Here is a 22,548-nt window from a genome sequence, read left to right as displayed (position 1 = left end):
GGATTCCCGTTGCTCGGATCCCAGAAGTGGGGGATGCAAACGGACGGTCAGCCCAGGACCTGGCCAAAGTTTCCTCCAAAACTGCAGTGGTCAAGGCGTGACCCAGGAGCTCGGAGTTTCCAGCTCAGGGCTGGGGGCTGGAGCAGGCCCCGGGGCACCAGCCGCAAGGTCACTGCGGAGCCGGACCCCGGGGGCAAACGGCCGGCGCGTGGTGGAGGGGCAACGCTGGGCACCCGACCACTCTCCACACCTGCTCAGCTCTGCGCGGAGCCCGGGACACGTGGGAGCCCAGTCCCGGGCTCCCAGCCTGCTGCAGGGACTCGCAACCTCGCCGGGGCGTACACCCTTCGCCCCCGGCCCGGCAACCAGGAAGAGGCGGCTCGCCCGGGCGCAGAGCAGCCGGCTCCGGGTAACTCTTTCATCCTCCGACCTCGGCAGCAGCAGGGAGGGAGTTTCGTTCTCCTCAAACCAGCCCCTCACCCCCGGTTGCTTCCCACACCTCTCCGTTTCCCTGCTACCTCGCAGACAGACAGACAAGGGACACAAAGAAAAAAAGAAGAAGAAAAAAAAAAAAAAAAAAACTACCGCCCCTCCTGGTCCCATCCTCCAGCCCGGAGCCGGTAGGAAGAAGAGGGCGAAGCACACCTTCCCTTCTCCTCCCCATCCCGACGCGGTGACCCGGGTAGATCTGGGCAGCCAGGAGCTCTGGGCAGCCAGGAGCCCCGAAGAGGCCGAAGGCGGAGAGGTAGGGTTGGAAGAGGCAGAAATCAGGCGGAGCGAGCTAGAGCGCGAGAGAGAAGAAAATATCCAACAAAACCACGCTAACGCGCCCCCTACCTGGGTGCAACATACTTTGGAAATAGAAGATGACCAGGATAAAGGATCCCAAGCAAGTGGCCAGCACCATCCGGCAGATTCTGTTCATCCTCATCACTTCCAGCAGCGCTGGCTTCATGGCTTTGTCCTGGCTGCGGGGACCGGGGTGTCCGGGAAGCGCGCCCGGGGCGCAGGAGCAGGGACCCCGCCGCGCGGACCGGAGCCCGGGAGGCGCGGGGCAGAGCTGAGCAAGGCTCAGAGGGAGGATCGGAGTCGCTTCGCGGCCGCTCTCGGAGCCCCCAGCCCGGGCAGGGGTGTGGAAGGTGCCGGAGTTGGTCTGGAAGTGCTGAGATGCGTGGACCCGCTGGCTGCGCGCTCCTGCTCCTCCTCCTCGCCGCTCCGCCGCCTCCTCCGATCCCGCCGGCGGCCGCCGCTGCCTGGTCGCGGGCCGGGCGGCTGGGGTGCGAGCGGTGATGGTGGTGCCGCCGCCGCTGCCGCTGCGCTGGCCGCTGTGGCTGTCCGACGGGCCCTCTCCCTTCTCTCCAAAGGCTACTTCATTGCGCTCCAACGATCTATATATTCCGGGGCTGGGTTTTACCAAATGCAACTCGCGGCCCCCGGCGAGGGGAGGGCGCCTGCGGAGAGCCGGGAGGAGGGAGGGACCCTAGCGCCGGGGCGGAGCGTCGCGCTCCCCCCGCCCCTACCCGGGATATGGTCGCGTCCAGCTGTTGCCCGGGGAGTGCGGTGTGCGCGCCGCGCTCCCGCAGGGTCCCAAAAGCCCTCAGTCCCCGGCCGGGCTCGGCCGCCGTCTGGAGGTTGTGTCAGCGTTTCCATGACAAAACCCGGAGGAAAAAAAGACGAAGAAAATCGCCTCGGTGCTGCCACCCACCCCCGCCAGCGTTTGGAGAGGGAAGTGGCAAGCAGCGGGCTGGGTCTCGGAGGGAAGAATTAAGGGTTAGGGGGTTTCTGGTGGCTGGCAATTATTTAAAATCCCTGGGCGACGTAGCGGGGAAGTTGCCCCAAACCCCCAGGGAGCGAGTGCCCATTTTCCGACGCTCAGAACTGGGCGGTTTCGTTTTTCTTTCAAAGGACAGCCCAGCTTGGGAGTCGGGGTTAAAGAGGGCTGACTTAAAGTCAGGGTTAAGGAAACTGCACGACCCTCGGGTCAGGCGACAGCTGAGCTTTCCCGGGGACTTATACAGACAGAATCTCTGACACCCACCATCACCACCATTCCTCAAGGCAAAAGGGATCTGTGGGTTGCAAAACTCTGCTACCCCAAAGGGTAGAGCATCCTCCAAATTATTCAAAATTAACAGCAGTCTTAGCTGGGAGGGGGTGAGAAAATGCCCCTAGGAAGCCACCTCAACCAAGTCCAGAAAACTGCTGGAAAAGCCAAGCCAGCCATAGCACTGGCAGGTACATGGAAAGATGGTGCTGCTTTCTTGTATTGTGTAGAATGACTTCCAGTTTCCAATTCCATGCATTTAGGCTGTTTCACAATCAATAAAGTGGACACAGCCAATAGTGTAGGGATCACTCGTATGTCAGGGAAAAAAAAAATGTTAGTTAGACTAACCTTTGTGCCTTATCAAGTCATTACTAATTCAATTAAAAATGAAATAAGATACTGTGTCTTTCAATGCCTCTCACAAAATAGGCATTTGATAAATTCTTATTGAATCTGAATGTAATGGGCCTTATCCTCCCCTCGATAGACAGAGACACAACTTGCAGTTAGACACATGCAACAAAAACCACCTGGGCAACCTCAGTTCCCTTCCCCCAGAGTTCTCCTCCAGCAGTTGCATGGTGGGGAAAGTAACAAACTCAGCAGCCTTGCCTTTGATTACAGAAGACAATCAAAGCACAATATTTATGTAGCCGGTGTGCGCTGTATTAATTTGGACTTACCTGTGAATAAGTTGCTTGCTCAAGGAAGCCAGGCTGAACAAGCTTCAGACAGAGTCGTTCTCCAGTGATTCTTCTGCTCTGGTGATAGGAGATCAGGAATGGGAGTTGCACTGCACCCTCCCCACCTCCCCACCATCATCACTAAGAAAGGGGATTCCTTGCAGAGGGCATGGCTTAGATGGGCATTTGCACAAAGCCTTTGCCTGGAATATAAGTCTCTCATTTAACACTTGGCTTTACAGAGCCAGGGAGGGGAAGGGATTTACTCCCAGGTCACCCAAGTGACCTCTCACCTCATAGGCCAAAGACTTCAGTTACCTGCCCCAAAGCCTGGACATGCACAAGGCAGTTTGGGAAGTCACAGGGTCAAGGAAGAGATCAGAAGTCCAATTCCCTGTGAGTCACAGAGATCATGGAGTTGGCCCACATGGTGGGGGAGGATGGTGAATCATGCCCAACATCCATTCTTGCATTCCCACAATCAGGAACCTGCCCAAACACAGTGAGGATTAAGGCTGTGACACATAAGCTACCACCTCTCCCAAGAAGTCTTTGCTGTTTTCTCACCTGAAATTGCAACTTTCCTCCTCTGCGCTGTGAGCACTAGGTCCAAACCTCTTTTGGGCCACTGTACCCACTAGGCTGAACTCCTTCCTGGAGATCCAAGTTGTCTTCATCTCTGTCTCTTTCTAATGCCCAGCACAATGACTGGTACATAGTAGGTACAAATAAGTCAGAGGCAGAGAGGTAATGCCTACTTGGACTAGGAAGTTAGATTAGATCACCTCTAAAATCTATGACAAAGGTCAGTGGTAATGGTCTGTGATTCTGTTGTTCTATGCACATTGAGGGGTGATGAAAAAATTCTGTTTTCTCCTTCATCACACTCTAAACTGCCCAACTACAGTTAGAATCATTGCTTTCTTTCCATTCCTAGCCTAAGAAAATTTTGTTACATCTTATGCTATATAATAAATATTAGCCAAGTAAAGGACAGTATTAACTGATAAAACTGAGGAGAAAAATTTTATACTTTGAACATTGAAAGAGGAACGGATCAGTCTTCAGATCCTTTCTCCCTCATCTTTCTAAATTCCCTTTTGCCCTGAAAGATTCTGCAGATTGGCATTGTGCTCATTGTGGGACCTGGCTTGATTGATTGACTCTCCAAATTCAACAACATGCAAGTGAAACTGGGGCCTGCATTTTTGTTTTGTTTTGTTTTGTTTTGTTTTTGAGACGGAGTCTCACTCTGTCGCCCAGGCTGGAGTGCAGTGGCGCGATCTTGGCTCACTGCAAGCTCCGTCTCCCGGGTTCACACCATTCTCCTGCCTCAGCCTCCCGACTAGCTGGGACTACAGGCACGTGCCACCACGCCCGGCTAATTTTTTGTATTTTTTAGTAGAGACGGGGTTTCACCATGTTAGCCAGGATGGTCTCGATCTCCTGACCTCGTGATCCGCCCACCTCGGCCTCCCAAAGTGCTGGGATTACAGGCGTGAGCCACCGCGCCCGGCCAGGGGCCTGCCCATTTTAAAGCCTGGCATGGCCCTGAAAAACTGGTTGAGGAGAAAGTCTTATTTATGTTGACGATCTTGTAGAATTTATAGCAGGGGAAGAAATCGGTGTGAAGTCACAATTCGGGCTTCTGGGTGCTGTTGTCAATGGACTGACAGATGTTTATGTGGCCCTTCCAATCCGCGCAGGCTGAGCGCCTCCTCATTCCGGCAGATTATACCTACAATGCACTGTCTTGTTACGATCTTGCAAACCTGGCAACGATGCCCTTTTCTGCACCTTGTTGGAGAGAAAAGTGGGCCCAGGGTACTAGTAGACAGAGAGCTCTTCAGCATCCTTGAAGGGAGAGAGGGATGTGTCTTCTGCCAACATCAGCCAGGGGCCCCAGACTGGCTCCTCCAAGGACTGGCGCTGCCATTTGCATCTCTCTGGCACCTCTAGCACAAAGGATACTCAGTTAACCAGAGCACAGTAAATATTTGTGAAGTTGAATTATAAACCATTTGCCCGCAGTATGTGGAGATCTTAGGGTACAAATTTTCTACAGGTAGGTAAACCGCAAGTAACACAAATGGGTTACTCGTGACATGACTCTGAGAGCAGGCTCTGCTTTGCAGGCTTTTCTGAACAAGGTGGAGAAAAAGACAGCAAGAGAGAAAGGGATTGAAGAAGGGAAAGAGAAAGGGAGAAAAAGAGGGGAAGGGAAGAGACGAAGGGGGAGGGAAGGAGAGGAGAAAGGGTTGGGGAAGAAAAGAAAAGAATTGCCTGGGAAAGAGAAGGAGGAAGGATGGGAGAGGGAAAGGGAGAGAAAAGAAGAAAGGACGAAGGAAAGGAGAGAGGGAGGAAGGAAGGGAAGACAAGATGAAGAGGGAGGAAGGAGAGAGGGAAGAAGGAAGAGAAGAAAATAAAGGAGAGAGGAGAGGAAGGAGGAAAGGACTATCCCTCATTATTCTGTCTCACTTTCTTCTTCTTTTTTTTTTTTTTTGAGGTAGAATCTATCACTCAGGCTGGAGTGCAGTGGCGTGATCTTAGCTCACTGTAACCTCCGCCTTCTGGGTTCAAGCAATTCTCCTGCCTCAGTCTTCTGAGTAGCTTCAGTACAGGCATGCACCCCCATGCCCAGCTAATTTTTGTATTTTTAGTAGAGATTGGTGTCACCATGTTGGCCAGGCTGGTCTCCAATTCCTGGCCTCAAGTGATCCGCCTGCCTCAGCCTCCCAGAGTGCTGGGATTACAGGCGTGAGCCACCGCGCCAGGCCTTGTCTGACTTTCTGATGCCGCCTTTGCTCCTCCACCTAGTTTAGGCCCGAAAGACTCCTCTCCCTCCCTTACTGAGGACCAGGTCTGTGGGACCCTTGGGCCCTACCCTAAGCCGACTCCAGCTGCCCTCTGGATAGCCCTGGCCACCTCCCCGTCTCCAGGCACAGCCCAGAAATCAGTTCCGTGAGCCACTCATCCCTCTCAAATATTTCTCAACTGGTGGCCCCTGATCAACTCCTAAACTCTATCTGCATAACTAGGAAACCTTCAGCTCCTGGCCCTCCACCCACCCCAGTACCCCTCCTCACCCCACCAGGTGCCTTCACTGTGTTTTTTTCACTTTGCCCCTGCCAGCGCCTCTGCTGGCCCCATCCACCAGATCATCCAGGTCTTTCTATGGAGTCTTTCCAGGCCCCCTGCCTGCCTCTTGCTGCTCCTCAGTAAGGACATTAGCATTTCTTGAGCACACTTTGACATTCATGGCATGATAATTTATTGAAATATTCATTTGTGTGTGTTATCCTCCTACTTCCACTTCTCCACGCCCCCTCCATTTCAGGCAGGCTTTGTGCCACCTTGCCTGAGGGATTTGATGAAGGCTTCCTGGGAGAAAAATTTAAAACTGTGGAAGAGATAATGGCAGGGAGAGAAGGGGGTGTTGGGGGTGGATTTGTGAAGGAATAAGTGAGTGCCCTGCCCCCTTTTGCCTGGGAGGTGGATGCTCCATAGGTACTAGTACCTGGGATGGCTAAAACCTGGCACAGTGATCCCAGTGCCACCAGGGATTCCAGTGCCCTAAGCATGGCACAAAAGTCACAGAACTGCTGACCTGAGGGAGCTTCAAGGACAGAGCCAGGCAGATGCCTTGGAGGTGATTCGTGTGGCCAAGAGGGCCTGTCATGCTCGGTGCCAGGGCCAGATTAAGATGCTGAGAACCTCTGAGTGCTGGGAGCTTATGGTGTACCACTCCCATATGTAATTCAGAATAGAAATAATACTAAAGAAGGAAGCTGGGCACATTGGCTCACGCCTGTAATCCCTGCACTTTGGGAGGATCATCTGAGGTCAGGAGTTCGAGACCCGCCTGGCCAACATGATGAAACCCCCATCTCTACTAAAAATACAAAAATTAGCTGGGCATGGTGGCAGGCACCTGTAATCCCAGCTACTTGGGAGGCTGAGGCAGGAGAATCGCTTGAACACTGGAGGCAGAGGTTGCAGTGAGCCAAGATCGTGCCACTGCACTCCAGCCTGGGTGACAGAGTGAGACTCTGTCTCAAAAAAACAATAATAAATCAAGAAGGAAATACCTTTTAAAAGAGCAAAGTTCAGATTTGTTAATGTTTTTTCTCTCAGCTTTATTTAAATATAATTTACATAAATAAAATATATTCATTCTAAGTATACAGCCTGCTGAGTTTTGGCAATTGTCTATAGGTGTATACAAACCCTCATCACCATAACCAAGACACAGAGCATTTCCATCATTCAGAAAGCTCCCTCTTACCCCTTTGCTGTTGATCCCCAGCCCAGACCCTGGACCCAGGCAACCACTGATCATCTTGCTTTCATTATAGTTTTGCCTTTTCTAGAATTTCTTATAAAAGGAACCATACTGGACACAGCCCATCATGTCTGGCTTCTTTGACTTAGCAAAGTTATTTTGAAATTCATTCATCTTGTTGCATGTATTAATATTTAATCCTTTTTATTGTTGAGCATGGATTTACCATAATTTAGTTTTGATTGATGGACATTTACACTGTTTCCAGTTGTTAGCTGTTACCAAAAAATGTTGCTATGAACAATTGCATACAAGGTTTTGTATGGACAAATATTTTATCTTGGGAAAATACTTAGGAAACTTTATAAAACACTGCCAAACTCTTCTCCAAAGTGGCTATATCCCTTTGCATTTCCACCAGCAAGGTAGGAAAGTCTCACATCCTCACCAACACTGAGTGTTGTCAATCTTTTTAATTTTTGCCATTCTACTGAGTGTGACATGGTATCTCATTATGGTTTGAATTACATTTCCTTAATGACTAGTGGTGTTGAGTATCTTTGCATGTTTGTTAATCATTCATGAATTTCTTTATAAAATGGCTGTTCAAATCATTTGCCCATTTTTAAATTCATACTGGTATCCAGTTGTTCTAGCACCATTTTATTGTATTATTATTTTATCCCGTGTTGTGCAATTAGAGTATGCTACATCGGGACATAATCCTCACAGGCAAGGTATAGTCCTCAAGGCATCGATAATAGACCTAAGATTCTGAGGATGTTGTAGAAATGAGGCCAGAAAAGCATAATCTAGTTCATGTTGTTCCCCTAGAAAATCCTTCAGGATGTTCTGTGTTGTTCACCTACTAGCTGTTGTATTCCATGAGTTAACAACGGGCAAAAAAGAACATCTGTCCACCAAGAAACAAGAGGCCACATCACTGTAAAACCTCAGTGGGCCCGTTTTACTTTATTCATTAAGGATCTGACTGGATAATCCAAGAAATGCAAATTACAACACCCCTCATCACAGTTTACAGTAATTACTGGTTTAATGTCTCTTTTTCCTGCTGGTCTCTGAGCTTTCAGAGGGGATGGCTAGGACCATGTCTTTATCACCACTGATTAACACAGAGTTGTCTAAAAATACATATTAAATGAGTAATATAATTTTTACCTGGCAGCTTGGCAATGACTGTAAAACACTGACAATTGTCAGTACTGGGAAGGGTGTAGGAAAAAGGGAACTCTTATAAACTGATGGTGGAAGGTGGTATAAATTGATACAACTTTTATGACATTTCTGGAAAGTGATCCAAGACCAAAATCACTAAGTTATTGATTGATGAAACTGAGGCATTCATGTACTTAGCCGTGCTAAAATAACCTAAATTTTTAGTAATAAGGATTTAAACAAATTAGAAAGCCTCTGTATAATGGAATATTCTACAATACTATATTTACATATTCTCCTGTTTTTTGCATAAATAAGCAAACATAATTGTATTCATATACAAATATATATGTTCTCCATACAACAAAGTATTGATAGTAGGTATTCTTGGGCAGTGAGACTTTTTAATTGATTTACTGTATTATCTAAGTATTTTTAAAAGAGTACATATTATTGTTTAAAAGGAAAAATATGTAGCTATTTTCATTTTCAGATGGAAAAAATTCTGTCTAATCAAAGAATATGTTTCTTAAATCATCAACACCCAACTTAAGCTCCTACTTCTTCCGTGACGCTTTCTCTAATTATTTCAAACCATAGAGTTATCTTTATGCTTATAAGAATTAAACCACTCCTCTATAATTTGGCACTTCATATACAGTTGCAGAGTCATTTTGTGAGCTGTGCCCTATCTCCTTGGCCACACCATACAAGCTCACGCAGGTTGACTGTTAGAACCTGCTGTCACAGAACTTGGTGCAATGCTGACCACACACTGATGACCCACACGAACTTGCCGATTAATTTCCTGGTATGTTAGAATGGCCTCTGATTGCATACCCACTGTGGGCAGACTCTGCTATGCACTTTACATACACGACCACTGATCCTCATCCATCACACAAGGGCAGCATGAGTATCCCCTCACACAGATGGCAAAACTGAGCCTCACAAAGCTTAAGGGACTCACTCTTACTTACACATCTGTTAATTGGCAGAGGTGGGGTGGGATTTGAACCAAGCTTATAAGGCAGCAAGGCCCATGCTTCTGAGAGTCTGAGAGTATCCAGCATACGTTCTTTTTTTTTTTTTTTTATACAGGGTCTCACTCTGTTTCCCACGCTGAATGCAGTGATGCAAACACGGCTCACTGTAGCCTCAAACTCCAAGTCTCAAGCTCCTCCTGCCTCACCCTCGTGAGGAGCCGAGACTACAGGTACACGCCACTACACACGGCTAATTTTTTTATTATTTTTTGTACAGATGGGGGTCTCACTATGTTGCCCAGGCTGGTCTGGAACTCCTGGGCTCAAACGATCCTCCTGCCTTGGCCTCCCAAAGTGCTTGTATTATAGGTGTGAACCACCACAGCACTTGGCCTCATATTTGTATGTTCTACCCATGTCTAGCAAGCACCATCTCCAGGCTTCTTGTCAAGATCAACCTTTAAAGGAGCTTGGGAGAAGCCTGGGGCTGCAGGATAGGAAACAGGCAATTAAAGGAGAGCTTTTCCCCCAGGCAGATAGGTCCTCCCTTCTCACTCACAGACTTGCTCACTTCCAGGGACTTTCCGCAGGGCAAATCTCATGACTTTTAAAGCCCCCTGTCCTCCCCTTCTCTTTCCCTAAAAATAGTTGTTTAGAAATAAGGATAAAATGAGTCTCTGTAAATAATTGGTGCAAACAATTCTCACCTTTGTCTTTTTTTTTTTTTTTTTTTGCCCTAAAGTGCAGTGAAAAAGCATGTCTCTCAGAGTTGTTTCTGGACCTCTCTCTAAAGATGAAAGGGCTCTCTATAAACCTGCTCACCCAAAGGACTGGGAGGTAGCAGGGAATCCAAGAACAGGAATTATCTAAGTATTCAGAGAGTTTTTGGCCTAAAACAATCCCTTGCATTATGCGGGCAGCCTGAGAAATATTTGTTAAATATTTGTTCATAAATGTAAAACTTTCGTATGTCAAAGGAAAAGGAGCAAAGTTAAACAGCACATAAAAAATGTGGTGAAAATATTCATTGAAAAATGAAAGATAGGCCAGGCACTGTGGCTCACGCCTGCAATCCCAGCACTTCAGGAGGCCAAGGCGGGTGGATCACCTGAGGTCAAGAATTCGAGACCAGCATGACCAACATGGTGAAAACTACAAAATTAGCTGGGCATGGTGGTGGGCACCTGTAATTCCAGCTACTTGGGAGGCTGAGGCAGGAGAATCGCTTGAACCTGGGAGGCGGAGGTTGCGGTGAGCCGAGATCGCACCGCTGCACTCCAGGCTGGACAACGAAGTGAGACTCCATCTCAAAAAAAAAAAAGAAAAAGAAAAAGAAAAATGAAAGATAAAAGGTTAAACGTCTTTGTGATATGCTCACACATCTCCCATTAGAAGTGGGAGCTAAACATTGGGTACACAAGGACACAAAGATGGGAACAGTAGACACTGGGGGTTCCACAAGGTGGGGAAGGGGATGGGGGACAGAAGGGTCGAAAAACTACCTATTGGCTACTATATTCACTACTTGGGCGACAGGATCATTAGAGGCCCAAACCTCAGCATCACGTAATATACTCATGTAACAAACCTGCACAGGTACTCCATGAATCTAAAATAAAAGGAAGAAAAACTTCTTTGTGATATATAAAGATCTCATACAGACAACTAGTTAACCCCACAAAGATCCCAATAGACACATGAACAAAAACAATTGACAAGATTTTTCACACACACACACACACACACACACACACACACACACACACGAAATATACCAGATAGTAAAATATAAGGAAGCATCTAATCTGGCTTGGTTCTGTGTCCCCACCCAAATCTCATCCTGAATTGTACTCCCATAATTCCCACATGTTGTGGGAGATAATTTGAATCATGGAGGCGGTTTCCCCCATATTATTTTTGCGGTAGTGAATAAGTCCCACGAGATCTGATGACATCTCATCAGGGGTTTCCGCTTTTGCTTCTTCCTCATTTTTCTCTTGCTGCTGCCATGTAAGGAGTGCCTTGCACCTCCTGTCATGATTCTGAGGCCTCCCCAGCCATGTGCAATTGTAAGTCCAATAAAGCCTCTTTTTCTTCCCAGTCTTGGGTATGTCTTTATCAGCAGTATGAAAACAGACTAATACAGCATCCAACCTCAATAATTAAAAAGAGGCAAACCAAAACAATAAGACACCATTTTAGTTTATCAAATTAGCAAAGATGTGTGTTAGACAATACAATTCCCTTGAGGCTGGAAAGGGTGGAATGCAAAGGAGCCACCCAGGTGTTGCTGGTAGAAGCAACTGGAACAACCTCTTTGAAGTATACTTTGGAATTCTTTTATCCCAGCCATGGGATGGAGTTACCACACTGTGATTACGGGGAGAGTGGGCTTTGGAGTCAGACAGGCCTGAATTTGCCTGTGGCCAGTCACCTGGCATATTTAAGCCTCAGGTTCCTCATCTGTAAAATGGGAATCATGATACATATTTTCAGGATGTTGTGAAGACTACACAAACCTAAGTCAGAGCACTCAGAGGCACCTACAGCATGGGCTGGGACAGGAGCTGGTGGTGCAAAGAAGCAGAGCTGGTAGAGAACCCACTTTTGGGATGGCCACAGCAAATCCAATGGCTGTGGCCGTGGTGGCCTCAGTGGACCAACCGTGTGCTGTGATCTTGGCTATTGCTGACCTCCCTTCCTTCCTGCTGATTTTCAAGCCATTTCCCAGCCTTTTTAGCGTTTCTCTGTGTTACCCACAACACTTTCAATAAATTCCTTTTTTGCCTAAATCATGCTCTCCGTTGCTTGCAGCTAAGAGCCCTGAAGATACAGATCACAAGGTATGGGCAGAGAGGCAGAACCTATAGCTGGGCCACCAATGTCTAAGGAGATTGATATTTTCCCTTTTGTGGCCCCTTGCTACTAGGCAGTAAGCTAAAATGGATCCCAAAGACCAGTCATCGTAAGTGTCATTCTATTTTCTAAATACCTTTGTTTTTCTAAATGCATTTGTGACCCAGCCTGCCCAAATCTTATGGGGGTTGAACTCAGAGGTGGGTTCGCAGTCAGGAGGCCTAGGCTCAAATCTCAACGTGCCTCTAACTAGCTGTGGGAGTGTTACGGACTGAAAATCATATGCTGAAGCCCTAACCTGCAATGTGTCTGTATTTGGAGAGAAGGCCTTTAAGGAGGTAATTGAGGTTAGGTGAGGTCATGAGGCTGGGGCCCTAATCCAATTGGATTGGCATCCTTGCAAGAAGAGAAAGGGACACTAGATAGCTCACTCTTTGTGCCTGCCCAGAGGAACGGCCATGCGAGGATACAGTAAGAAGGCAGCCGTCTACAGACCTCACCAGAAACCAACCCTGCTGGCACCTTGACCTTGGACTTCTAGTTTCCAGAGCATGATGAGAATAAATGTCTGTTGTTGGAGCCACCCAGTCTATGGCATTTGATCTGTCGCCGAGGCTGGAGTGCAATGGCCCGATCTCGGCTCACTGCAACCTCTGCCTCCAGGGTTTAAGTGATTCTCCTGCCTCAGCCGGCTGAGTAGCTGGGATTACAGGTGTGTGCCACCCCACCTGGCTAATTTTTGTATCTTTTGTAGAGACCGGGTTTCACCATGTTGGCAAGCCTGGACAAAGTGATTTACCCAAAGTCACTGAATCAATCTGTTCAGGCTGCTGCTATAAAACGCCAACAATCGAAATGTAATCTCTCATGGCTCTGGTGGCCAGAAGTCTGAAATTGAGATGTTGGCAGGGCTGTGTACTCCCTCTGAACTTTCTAGGGGAGAGTCTTTCTTTGCCTCTTCCAGCTTCTGGCGGCAACCAGTGTTCCCTGGCTTGTCCCCATATCACTCCAGTCTCTGCCTCGGTCTTCACATGGCCTTCTATGTGTCTGTGCTGTCTCCTTTTCTGTATCTTATAAAGGCTTATTATTTGTTATTTGATTTAGGGCCCACTAAGATAATCCAGAACCATCTCTTTACATTAATTACATCTGCAAAGATGCTTTTCCCAAGTAAGGTCACATGTACAGGTCAGGATGTAGACATATCTTTTTGGTGGCCACCATTCAACTGACTGTAGACAGTGATAGTGATATATTTACTGGGGCAGCCCCTGCAGTTCTTGTTTCCAGTTGCATAGGCACATACCTGCTTCTCTGACCCTCCTGGAATTTCTGTAAGCTACCTTTAAAACATTCATGTTCTTAAGTTAGCAGAGTACTTGCCTCTAAGCAAGAACTCTGACTGATACATACTTGACTTTCCAAGTCTCACTTTTCCACCTGGAAAATGCAAGGATCGAACCAAGTAACTTTTAACATCCCTTCCTATTCTGGTTGATTCTAGAATTGTCAGTTGAGCTTGGTTCATGGAGAAGTGACAGATCAATGCCATCAATATTAGGAACTCAAATGAAGAGTCTTTAAAATGTGATCTCCATAAGGAGGCTCTGGGGAGCTGTCTCTTGCCCTTCGGAGTGATGTTTCTCAAAAAACAGCAGGTCAAGTGATGAGTTCTGGTAAATAGCAATAACCTTGGAATGCAAATCTTACTCTGTGGTGTCAGATTTTTAATATTCAATATGTTAGATAATCTCTTCATGATAATGATAAAGCTAGGCTCTGAAAATGAAATTGAGAATGCTGATCAGCAAGGGGAGAGCAACAAGAACTAATTGCACACAGCAGGGTGTGAATTTTCAGAGCCATAGAAACAGGAGTGACTACGCTCCCAAGAAAGCTCGAAGCAGCATGCTTCAGAGAGCACACAGCGCTTAGGGTCAGAGTTCTTATCCCAGCCTGGCCACCAGCCGACATGTGTCCTGCAGCCAGTCACTCCCTTTCCCTGGGTCTCCATAGCTGCATGAGATGAAGCGTGAGGAAGCAGTATACTGATGTACAAGGGTTAGGATTTGTTAAGTGAAAAGAACTGAAGTAGTAACTCTCAGCAGGAACATCCTCTGGGGGAAAGGGACTCAAATTTTCTCCCCGGTTTTAATTGTAAGATCAATGGCATTTGGGTACTAACATGCCTTCTCTTGGGTGGTACTGGATGGTGCTCCATAGTGTTGAACTTCCACAAAATCAATAATCAGATAATCCAATTTAGGTGACTCCTAACCACATAACACTATTAGTCAGAAACATCTGGGTTCAGAACTTCAACTCCAACTAGCTTAAACAAAAAGAGACTTGGTTGGCTCCTGTCATTGGGATCTTTAAGCTGTCTTTAGACATGACCTGATTCAGGTTTCTAGCTGTGTCTTAAGGAGAATGCCTCTCTTTCCAGTCCTTGGCTCAGCTTTCTTTTGTGTTGTCTTCATTCTCAAGTGGCTGCCCGCCTGTTCCAGACTTCTCTCCAGCTCAGTATCCACTGTAGAAAGGACATACCCCCTTCCTAACAGCTCCAGCAAGAGTCTAGAGCTGCCTTCTGAAGGGTCTTGCTCACGACCCTGACCAGCCACCGTGACCAGAGAATGTAGCATGCTTGTTGCCCAGGCCTGGAGGCTATGTTCTGCCCTGGAGCCAGTAGTGGGGTCAGCCCCACTCACATCACCAGACCAAGAATGGGGCCAGGTAGTTTCTCCAAGAGGCAACTACCTGGAGAGGCCGAGATGAATTCTATTGTAGTTAATAAGAGAGGACACTGCATGTGTTAGTTTGCTATTGCTGCTGTAACAAATTACCACAAACTTAGTGACTTCAAACAACACAAATGTGTCATTTTACAGTTCTGGAGTTCCAAAGTACAAAACCAGTCTCAGTGGGCCAAAATCAAGGTGTCAGCAAGGCTGCCTCTCCTCCAGAGGCTGTGGGGAAAAGGTCTGTTTCCTAGTCTTTTTATAGCTTCTGGAGGTCTGTCACTTGCATCGCTTGCCTCATGGCCCCATCCTCCATCTTCAAAGCCACTGTATAGCCTCTCTCTTCCTCTCTCTCTTCCCCTCTCTCTTCCCCTCTCTCTTCCCCTCTCTCTCTTCCTCTCTTCTCTTCTTCTCTTGTCCTCTTCTCTTCTCCTCCTCTCCTCCTCACTTCCTCTCTTCCTCTCTTCCTCTCTCTCTCTCTCTCTCTCTCTCTCTCCCCTCCACCCCACCTCCTGCTTCCCTCTTACAAGAATGCTTGTAATTACATCAGGTCTACCCAGATAATCCAGGATAATCTTTCCATTTCAAAATCCTTAATTGGGTCACATCTGCAAAGTCTCTTCTGCCATTCAAGGTAACATAATCACAGGTTCCATGGATTAGGACAGGAATATATTTGGGAGGCCATTTTTGTGGATGGGAAAGAACAGATATTCCTTACAGAATCTGCACCTGCCCATAGATTATAAGAGACAATAAAGATCTAATGCTAGCAACAAATAATATGTAGCAAGAAGTTTAGTAGAGTCAAGTGTGAAGATATAAATTCAAGTCTAAACTCCACCATTAACTAGCCCTCTTTGACTCAGTAGTTTTGTCTGTATAATGGACATGTCTACCTCAATCTCTGAGTTATCATGACCAAAAGGTCATGAAAACACGTTTACAAATGCAAACTATCATTTCTAGAATGAAAATCATGGAATGAAACTGGGGGATATGAAATTTCACTCACCTTTGCAGTCATTCACACCAACCCTAATCTATGAGGCTTCTTTCTCCAGAGTAAGGAAGGCTCCATCTAGAGCAAAAAGGTCATTCATCAGATTTGGATATTAAAGTAGCATGAGGCTGTGCACAGTGGCTCATACCTGTAATCCCAGCACTTTGGGAGGCCGAGGCAGGTGGATCAACTGAGGTCAGGAGTTTGAGCCCAGCTTGGCCAACATAGTGAAACCCTGTGTCTACTAAAAATACAAAAAAAATAAAAAAAATTTAGCTGGGCGTGGTGGTGCACGCCTATGATCCCAGCTACTCGGGAGGCTGAGGCAGGAGAATCGCCTGAACCCTGGAGGCAGAGGTTGTGGTGAGCTCAGATCATGCCACTGCACTCCAACGTGGGTGACAGAGCAAGACTCTGTCTCCAAAAAAAAAAAAAAAAGTAGCATAAAAAGCCAGAATTTGCCAAGAGATAAAAGGATTTTCTATACTCTCCAAGGTCCTGTTATGTGGCCATTAGGTCATATAATGTGTTAACACATTAACAACAGCTAAAACTGGCTGCCCAGGTGCCAGTTTTACTGCAGATATGATGTGGTTTTAGAGACATGGGAAGCCATGTATTCCCACCTCAGTGTTCTATGGGCAGGAGAAAAGACAAAGAGGCAGAGTGAGCAGTTCAAATGCCAGCGTTCTTGTTCCCTCTTCCCATCCGCCACTTTGGGACAAACACAGATGGATAATAGGACCCAAGGGGCACTTAGGTTACTAGACAGTGAGGAGGTCATGCTAGACTTCCCCATGTGTACCAGTGGAGGGGAGAGCATGGCAAAGAAGTCCCCATGTGGTCACATCCAGCCCAGGGTGGCAGCATTGGTGGAGGGAAGTGCCTGTCTGGCTAGATGGCCTGCCACAACCCTCCTGGCTTTCCATGGCCTGCCCAGGATGTACAGGGCTTCAGAGAGCAAATGGTCTCCAGCAGGACCTAGAACCTACTGTGACTCAATGGCCTCCAGTCCAGGGATGAGGGAGATACATGTGGCTCTGAGGCCTCTGGCAGAAAAGAGTTAACATAGTCAGTTTGAGACTGCTTGCAAGGTTGGCCCTTGGCTGGCATCTACATTGGATTTGGGGTGGGTTCCCAGCACTCCCAGAAAGGACAGGAGCAGTTCGCTGCGCCTGAACTCTTTGTACAAAAATGTGGTTTATGCTGAACACCTGCCTTCCTTCTGGAAGCCCGGACTTTTGGTACATCCTAGGCCACAGATGCTTATGTGACTGACCCTCAGTAAAATCCTTGGACTGACTCCTAGGCTTAGTGGCACTTCCCTGGTAGACAGCATTCCACATAGGTTGTCACAATTCTTTCTAAATAAACTAAGTATACCCTGTGTGACTTCTTGGAATTTTGCATCTTGTCTCCTCCAGCTTTGCCCCATGTGTCTCCTTCTTTCACTCATTTTATTTTGCACCTGTTCACTATAATAAATCATAGCCATGACTGTGACTATATGCTGAGTCCCATGAGTCCTCCTAGCAAGTCTTTGGAGCTGAGGGTGGTTGTGGGGATCCCCGACTCAGGCCTTTCTTCCCCTGCCTCCAAGATGTCCCTTGAGTTCTCTTCTATACACCCAGCTGACTCTTGCAGAGAAGCAGGAGTGGCATGGAATCTGAACCACTGAGTGTGCAGCTGACAGGCACGTCCCTTCCAGAGGTTGTGTATATTACTTATTGGACTAAATGTTGATTTCTCTCCTTCTTACCATTCACTACATTTTTGGATACTTCTAGGTGTAATGTGAACAAACACTCAAGCCCTGTGTCATTGTTATTGTAAAATGTCACTTTCTCACTATTCCCATGTGTCCACCTCTACCCTCCCCACTCAGCAGGTGACAGGGCAATCTGTTCACGAAAGAATTGGTCTCCCCCTCATCAGGCCAGTTCCTGGGACTCTCCAGCACCAAGTCCAGGGCAATCTGTTCACGAAAGAATTGGTCTCCCCCTCATCAGGCCAGTTCCTGGGACTCTCCAGCACCAAGTCCATGCTCAGATCCATCTCCTCTGAACACTGACCCTATCTCTTCCATTTATATATACATATATATATATATATATATATATATATATATATATATATATATATATATGAAATAGAGAAATCCTTTTCTCTCTTGGTAAATTCTGGCTTTTCATGCTACTTCAATACCCAAATCTGATGAATGACCTTTTTGCTCTAGATGGAGCCTTTCTCTCTCTGGAGAGAGAAGCCTCACAGCCTAGGGTTGGTGTGGATGACTGCATATATATGGAAGAGATAGGGCCAGTGTGTGTTTTTTAGATATTTTAACATATACATTTAACATATATGTATACACATGCATCTTATATATACATATATACGTCTCATATATATAATCTCATATATATACATCTCATATATACACATCTCATACACACACACACACACGTTTGGTGGCCTGTTTTCTTATCTGTCAGATGAGAGTGGGAATTATAAAATACCTAAATTGTTGACCATTGCACATGAAAATTGCATAGTTATGTGTGAGTGTATGTCTCAGCACAGACAAATAACATCCTAAGCACACATTACATTCCTCAGTAGACTTAGGAACTTTTTATTAAGCTTTCTTTTTTATTCATTATCCTTAATACAATCCACAAATCCTCATAAAGAAATTATATTTATATATAGATCCGTAAAAAAAATTCCCAGTTTTGGCTTGACCATGGAGAATAAGGTGTTTGTCCATTTGTGTCTAGGTGGGTCAAATGTAAATAACTTCAGCACTAAAAGTTTAACCAGTGAGAAAATATTCCCTGAAATCCAGGGGCCATTCCATAAATTGATGCCTGTGAAACACTGGCCTAGTAGATCTGAGAAGCACCTGCCAGGGCTAATAGACCAGGATTTTTCAGATGGAGTTCACTCCAGGCAGGTGTCAGGATCAGAAAGCTCTTTTTTGATGCTGCAGTTTCATGTTTCTTAGATCGTATTGTTAGTGGTGAAAATTATCCAACTCACATGGTACCAAAATATGTTATCGGCAGCAAATTTGTAGGGGTCTGCAGCAACCTCAATTTTTGCCTCCTCAGAAGAAAGAATTCGACTAAGGGGCAGAAGGCAGAAGGAGAGACTGGGGCAAGCTGTAGAGCAGGAATGAAAGTTGATTAAAAAGCTTTACCGCAGAAACAAAAGGCAGGAAAATACATTTGGAAGAGGGCCAAGCGGGCAACGTGAAAGGCAAGTGCACGGTTTGACCTTTGACTTGGGGTTTTATATGTTGGCATACTTCCAGGGTCTTGCGTTCCTTCTCCCGATTCTTCCCTCGGGGTGGGCTGCTGGCGCTTGAGAGGGGAGCGTGCGCAGTGTGTTTACTAGAGTTGTACCCATGCTCACTTACAGTGTTACTCCTTTACCAGTCCAATGTCCCTAGGAGGTCATGTGCCAGTTAAACTCCGCCATTTTCCCCCTTAGTGCTCATGTGTGAGCCCAGTCTCCCAACTCCTGAGATCTTATCGGGTAGCTACTGATAATCAGTTTCAGGTTTTTCTTTTCTATAGGGAGACTGCCTTTTTCTGGGGCTGGCTGCAACCAATTATTATTTTAGAGAGACAGTTAACCACCTGACCATCACCTGATGGCCACCTGACATTCCTGCTTGGGTTGGAGCGGGGCCTCTCCTGCCCTGCTCATGTCTGACTAGCTACTCACTGGAACAGGGAGACACATACACACACACAAAGTGGAAGATGTTTTCAGAGAGTTACTCTGGAGTACTTTGAGGAAAATGAAATGGGGTTATGTGATCGAAGCTGGCTGGTGCAGAAACACTGCCTTAGAAAGGGTGGTCAAGGGAAGGCCCAGTAAGGATCTGACATTTGGGCCAAAACTGGAATAATGAGAAGTCAGCCATGTGCAAATCTGGAGGGTGCATCTCAGGGGCAGAGAGTGGCAGCACAAAGGCTCTAAGGCAGGGATAAGCCTGGTGTATTCAAAGGACATTAGAAGAGGCCAGAATGGCTACATTGTGTTGAACATGGTCGAGGAGGTGGGGTCAAATAGCAGGCAGGGGCCCAGTAGCCTAGAGTTTACAACCCAGATACGGCAGGAACTTTTGGCCATTCCTACTAACCCCAATATCTGGTCTATTCTTTCATAGCAATAAAACTTCCAAGTTTTAGCTAAGCACATGACTTCCTACAATAAAAACTACATCTCCCAGCCTCTCTTATAGTTAGGTGATGTAGTCATGTGACTAAGTTCTGCCAGTGAAGTCTTAGCAAAATTACCTTGCTTAAAAGATAGCTAGTATATGCTCTCTGCCCCTTCTTTTCCATGCCTCCTTCCTACAGGGGTCCTGCCACTTGGACCCATGATGCAATGACTGGTGCTTTTGCTGTCGTATTGTGTCATGAAGAGGTAGATCACATCCAGGGATGGTGGAACAATGACCTGAAAGGTGCCTGCATCCCCGAGGAGTTCATGGAGTTTAGATACACTAGGAAGTCTGGACTACCTACCTCCCTCTCTACCAGAGGAAGAAATAAGCAAAGTAGATTTCTATTTTTTTAAGTCACAGTTATTTTGGGTCTCTGTTACCCTCAATTAAACAATAGCTGCCTTTGCTATTGATAGCCACAATAAAGAATATGGGTGCCACCTAAGTTTTTGGCTTGAGCAATTGAATAGGTGTTGCCATTTAAGGAAGTGGTAAAGACTAAGGGGAAAAAAACCAAAAACAAGATTTGGGTGAAAATCAAGAGTTATCTTTTGGTTATGCTGGAGCTGAGATGCTATTATACATCCAAGAGGATCTATAGACAGGCAGGCAGCTGAATATTTGAGTTTGAAGCTTGGGAGTGGGGAGGAGGCAGAGCTGAAGGCATAAGTTTTGAAGCCACTGTAGGTTGAGATGTCTCAAGAGTCATCAGCAGCACCATGTCCTCCAAGGGGGGGATGACCTTGCCTTGGCTGTGAAAGGTAAGCTTCATGTTATACCACAAATTCTTGGAAAAAAATGGAATTTTGGTAAATCAAATTTCATTATACCTATACTGGACAAACTTGCTATTTCAAAACATCCTTTCATTAATTATTTCAAGAAGTCTAAGTTTTCTTTCTGCCACTTCTTCTTTTACTTGTTTAGTTTGTCCAAATTTTGGTATTTGGGTCTTTTTTTTTCCAAGCATTCTTGCATTTTCTTTCCTGTAAATGAAAGTGTCAAAAAGATATTTATACTGTTACAGTAGGTAGCTAGTCAGACATGAACAGGGCAGGAAAGGCCCCCCACCCACCACCAGGAATGTCAGGGGACCATCAGGTGATGGTCAGGTGGTTCTTAACTGTCTCTCTAAAATAATAATTGGTCCAGCCAGTGCCAGGGAAACGCAGTCGTCCTATCAAAGGGAAAAACCTGAAACTGGTGATCAGTAGCTTCCTGGTAAGATCTTAGCAGTTGGGTGAGTGGGCTCACACATGTGCCCTAAGAGGTAAAGTGGTGGAGTTTAACTGGAATATGACCTCCTAAGGGACATTGGGCTGGTAAGGGAAGAACGTCTCGAGTGAGCATGGGTACAACTCCAGTAAACACACTGCGCATGCTCCACTCCCAAGCACTGGCAGCCACTGCTCATGCGGACAGGACAGCCCATCCCAAGGGGAGAATCAGGAAAGAAGAGACGTAAGACCCCAGAAGCATGCCCACATATAAAACCCCAAGTCGAAAGGTCAAACTTGTCTTTTAAGTCACCCACTTAATCCTCTTCCAAGTATACTTTCCTTCCTTTTGTTTCTGCAGTGAAGCTTTTTTTTTTTTTTTTTTTTTTTTTTTTTTTTTTTTTTTTTGAGACAGAGTCTCACTCTGTCGCCCAGGCTGGAGTGCACGGGCATGATCTCGGCTCACTGCAACCTCTGCCTCCCGGGTTCAAGCGATTCTCCTGCCTCTCAGCCTCCCAAGTGGCTGGGATTACAGGTGCATGCCACCACGCCCAGCTAATTTTTGTATTTTTGGTAGAGACAGGGTTTCACCATTTTGGCCAGGCTGGTCTTGAACTCCTGACCTCAGGTGATCCGCCTGCCTCAGCCTTCCAAAGTGCTGGGATTGCAGGTGTGAGCAACCGCGCCCGGCCAGCAAAGCTTTTCAATAAACTTTCACTCCTGCTCTAAAACTTGCCTCAGTCTCTCCTTTTACTGTCTGCCCCTTGGTCAAATTCTTTCTTCTAAAGAGGCAAGAACTGAGGTTGCTGCAGACCCCTACAGATTCGCCTCTGGTAACATCCCAACTCAAGAACATAAGCTTCATCAGGCCAGGGACCTCAGCTGTTTTGTTTAGAGTTAATTCTCCACACTGGCATAGAGTTGGTACTCCATAAATACTTGTTAAATAAATGAATGAGCTTATCAATTAGTTTTTCTCATCAACACATTTGAAATTGAATTTATCAATTTGTTTTATCATTAGTATTCCTGAGCTTCCCACGGAGATGCTACTGCTGTCTTTGGACAATTTCTTTGCTGCTGAGATAAGGAAAGGACTCATTTTCCCTGAGGCCTCATCAGGAGAGGAGGGAGAAGACTTCAAAGGAAGCTCCGACTTCACTGCCTGAACTGGCCCTAAAGGAAAGGGGAAGAGAAAGATCAGGAAGGTTTTTGCAGCCTTTTGTGCTACCATGCTGTCTGGAAGTTTCTGAGCTGGGTCTCTGGGTGGCGGCTGCAGCTCCTGGGCAAGGTGGGCTGTAGCAGTCAAGACCAGTCTCC

At 46.5% G+C, this 22,548-nt stretch overlaps 1 protein-coding gene across 4 annotated transcripts in view, besides 9 other annotated features; it reads right to left on the bottom strand.

Annotated features, from left to right (window-relative positions):
* The window catches only part of CHST11 (carbohydrate sulfotransferase 11), a 305,067-nt gene extending 303,648 nt beyond the window's left edge, over positions 1 to 1,419 (bottom strand). For 2 of the 4 annotated variants that reach the window (NM_018413.6, XM_047428914.1), the window contains exon 1: positions 838 to 1,419. In NM_018413.6, coding sequence (NP_060883.1) covers positions 838 to 955 — 118 coding nt within the window. In that variant the 5' untranslated portion in view covers positions 956 to 1,419. The remainder of the gene's footprint in view (positions 1 to 837) is intronic. The other 2 variants (NM_001173982.2, XM_047428915.1) reach the window with 1 other exon arrangement.
* Positions 101 to 240: a silencer, noted in NCBI's record as "silent region_4797". NCBI's record gives its function as "represses an Ori minimal core promoter by ATAC-STARR-seq in GM12878 lymphoblastoid cells {active_cell/tissue: GM12878}" and the evidence as "EXISTENCE:reporter gene assay evidence [ECO:0000049][PMID:35858748]".
* Positions 631 to 680: an enhancer, noted in NCBI's record as "active region_6913". NCBI's record gives its function as "activates an Ori minimal core promoter by ATAC-STARR-seq in GM12878 lymphoblastoid cells {active_cell/tissue: GM12878}" and the evidence as "EXISTENCE:reporter gene assay evidence [ECO:0000049][PMID:35858748]".
* Positions 831 to 1,110: a silencer, noted in NCBI's record as "silent region_4796". NCBI's record gives its function as "represses an Ori minimal core promoter by ATAC-STARR-seq in GM12878 lymphoblastoid cells {active_cell/tissue: GM12878}" and the evidence as "EXISTENCE:reporter gene assay evidence [ECO:0000049][PMID:35858748]".
* Positions 1,151 to 1,320: a silencer, noted in NCBI's record as "silent region_4795". NCBI's record gives its function as "represses an Ori minimal core promoter by ATAC-STARR-seq in GM12878 lymphoblastoid cells {active_cell/tissue: GM12878}" and the evidence as "EXISTENCE:reporter gene assay evidence [ECO:0000049][PMID:35858748]".
* Positions 1,401 to 1,530: a silencer, noted in NCBI's record as "silent region_4794". NCBI's record gives its function as "represses an Ori minimal core promoter by ATAC-STARR-seq in GM12878 lymphoblastoid cells {active_cell/tissue: GM12878}" and the evidence as "EXISTENCE:reporter gene assay evidence [ECO:0000049][PMID:35858748]".
* Positions 1,601 to 1,680: an enhancer, noted in NCBI's record as "active region_6912". NCBI's record gives its function as "activates an Ori minimal core promoter by ATAC-STARR-seq in GM12878 lymphoblastoid cells {active_cell/tissue: GM12878}" and the evidence as "EXISTENCE:reporter gene assay evidence [ECO:0000049][PMID:35858748]".
* Positions 1,701 to 1,750: an enhancer, noted in NCBI's record as "active region_6911". NCBI's record gives its function as "activates an Ori minimal core promoter by ATAC-STARR-seq in GM12878 lymphoblastoid cells {active_cell/tissue: GM12878}" and the evidence as "EXISTENCE:reporter gene assay evidence [ECO:0000049][PMID:35858748]".
* Positions 5,530 to 6,032: an enhancer, noted in NCBI's record as "H3K4me1 hESC enhancer chr12:104846113-104846615 (GRCh37/hg19 assembly coordinates)". NCBI's record gives its function as "activates a minimal SCP1, AML or CMV promoter by ChIP-STARR-seq in primed H9 embryonic stem cells {active_cell/tissue: H9 hESC(primed)}" and the evidence as "EXISTENCE:reporter gene assay evidence [ECO:0000049][PMID:30033119]".
* Positions 22,037 to 22,206: an enhancer, noted in NCBI's record as "experimental_23909 CRE fragment used in MPRA reporter constructs". NCBI's record gives its function as "activates a minimal promoter by MPRAs in K562 erythroleukemia cells, with activity observed for both the introgressed and non-introgressed 12:104830024 variant alleles {active_cell/tissue: K562}" and the evidence as "EXISTENCE:reporter gene assay evidence [ECO:0000049][PMID:34662402]".

Source organism: Homo sapiens, chromosome 12 (genome assembly GCF_000001405.40).
Source record: "Homo sapiens chromosome 12, GRCh38.p14 Primary Assembly".
NCBI lineage: Eukaryota > Metazoa > Chordata > Mammalia > Primates > Hominidae > Homo > Homo sapiens.
This window is presented reverse-complemented; position numbering and strand designations above follow the sequence as displayed.